Below are 2,037 nucleotides of genomic sequence, written 5' to 3'. Positions count from 1 at the left end.
AATACATCTAACAATACAAGGAGGTGAATGACCTCTCCAAGGAGAACTATCAAACACTGCTAAAAGAAATCAGAGATGATGCAAGCAAATGGGAGAACATTCCATGTTGATGAATTGGAAGAATCAATATTGTTAAAATGGCCAAACTGCCCAAAGCAGTCTACAGATTCAATACTATTCCTATCAAACTACCATCATTTTTCACCGAATTAGATTAAACTATTCTAAAATTTATATGGACTCAGAAAAGAGCCTGAATAGCCAAAGCAATGCTAAGCAAAAGGAACAAAGCTGAAAGCATCACACTACCCAACCTCAAACTATACTATAAGGCTACAGTAACCAAAACAGCATGATACTGGGATAAAAACAGCACATAGACCAATGGAACAGAATAGAGAACCTAGAAATGAAGCTACACATCTACAACCATCTAATCTTCAACAAAGTCAACAAAAATAAGCAATAGAGAAAGGACTCCCTATTCAATTAATGGTGCTGGGATAACTGGCTATCAATAGGCAGAAAAATGAATTCTTACCTATCACAATATACAATCAAAATGGAAGAAACACTTAAATGTAAGACCTCAAACTATAAAAATCCTAGAAGAAAACCTAGGTCTAATATCCAGGATCTACAAGAAACTTAAACAAATCAACAAGCAAAAAACAACCCCATTAAAAAGCGGGCAAAGGACTTTTGAACAAATGAACAAATGCTTCTTTAAAAAAGACATACAAGTAGCCAACAAACATATGAAAAATGTTTGTTGCTCAGCATCACTAATAATCAGAGAAATGCAAATCAAAACCACAATGAGATACCATCTCACACCAGACAGAATGGCTTTTATTAAAAAGTCAAAAAATAACAGATGTCGGTGGGACTCCAGAGAAAAGAGGAGAAGGCTTATATACTGTTTGTGGGAATGTAAATTAGTTCAGCCATGGTGGAAAGCAGTTTGGAGATTTCTCAAAGAACTGAAAATATAACTACCATTTGACCCAGCAATTCCATTACTGGGTATATGCCCAAAGGAAAAGAAATTGTTCTACCAAAAAGACACATGTACTTGTATGTTCATTGCAGCATTATTTACAATAGCAAAGACATGAAATCAACCTACGTATCCATCAATGGTGGATTGGATAAAGAAAATGTGATACATATACACCATGAAGTAGTATGCAGCCATAAAAAATGTGAAATCATGTTCTTTGCAGCAACACAGATACAGCTGGAGGCCATCACCCTAATTGAACTAATGCAGAACAGAAAACCAGATACCATGAGTTCTCACTTATAAGTGGGAGCTGAACACTGGGTACACATAGAGATAAGGATGGGAACAATAGACACTGAGGAATACAAGAGCAGCAAGGGAGGCGGGCAGGGGTTGAAAAACTACTATGCTCAGTACCTGGGATGATGGTGCAATCAAACTCTAAACCTCAGCATCATGCAATGTACCATGTAACAAACCTACACATGTACCCCCTAAATCTAAAATAAAAGTTGAAGAAAGTAAATAGTATATCAGAAAGTAATAGATGATGTGAAAAATATAGAGCAAGAAAACTTCATTTACACAAGAAGAATAAGTTCAAGTGGCCTATTGTACAACATGGTGACTATAGCTAATGTGTTGTCCTTGAAAATCACTAAAATAATAAATTTTAAATGTTCTCACCATATAAAAAAAAAGTAAGCATATGAGGTTAAGAGAGACAGCTAGGCATGGTAGCTCATGCATGTAATCCCAGCACTTTGGGAGGCCCAGGCAGGAGGATCACTTGAGGCCAGGAGTTCAAGACCAGCCTAGGCAACATAGTGAGATCCCATCTCTACAAAATAAAAATTAGCTGGGTGTGGTGGTGCATTCCTGTAGTACCAGCTATTTGGAAGGCTGAGGTGGAGGAGCCCTTGAGTCCAGGAGTTTGAGGCTGCAGTGAGCCATGACTGCACCATTATACTCCAGCCTGGGTCATACAGAGAGACTCTATCTCTAAAAACATAAAAACAAAAAATGGAATA

The sequence above is a fragment of the Homo sapiens genome, chromosome 12, assembly GCF_000001405.40.
Source record: "Homo sapiens chromosome 12, GRCh38.p14 Primary Assembly".
Classification (NCBI taxonomy): Eukaryota; Metazoa; Chordata; class Mammalia; order Primates; family Hominidae; genus Homo; species Homo sapiens.
The sequence above is the reverse complement of the archived record's forward strand: the minus strand, read 5'-3'. Positions refer to the sequence as shown.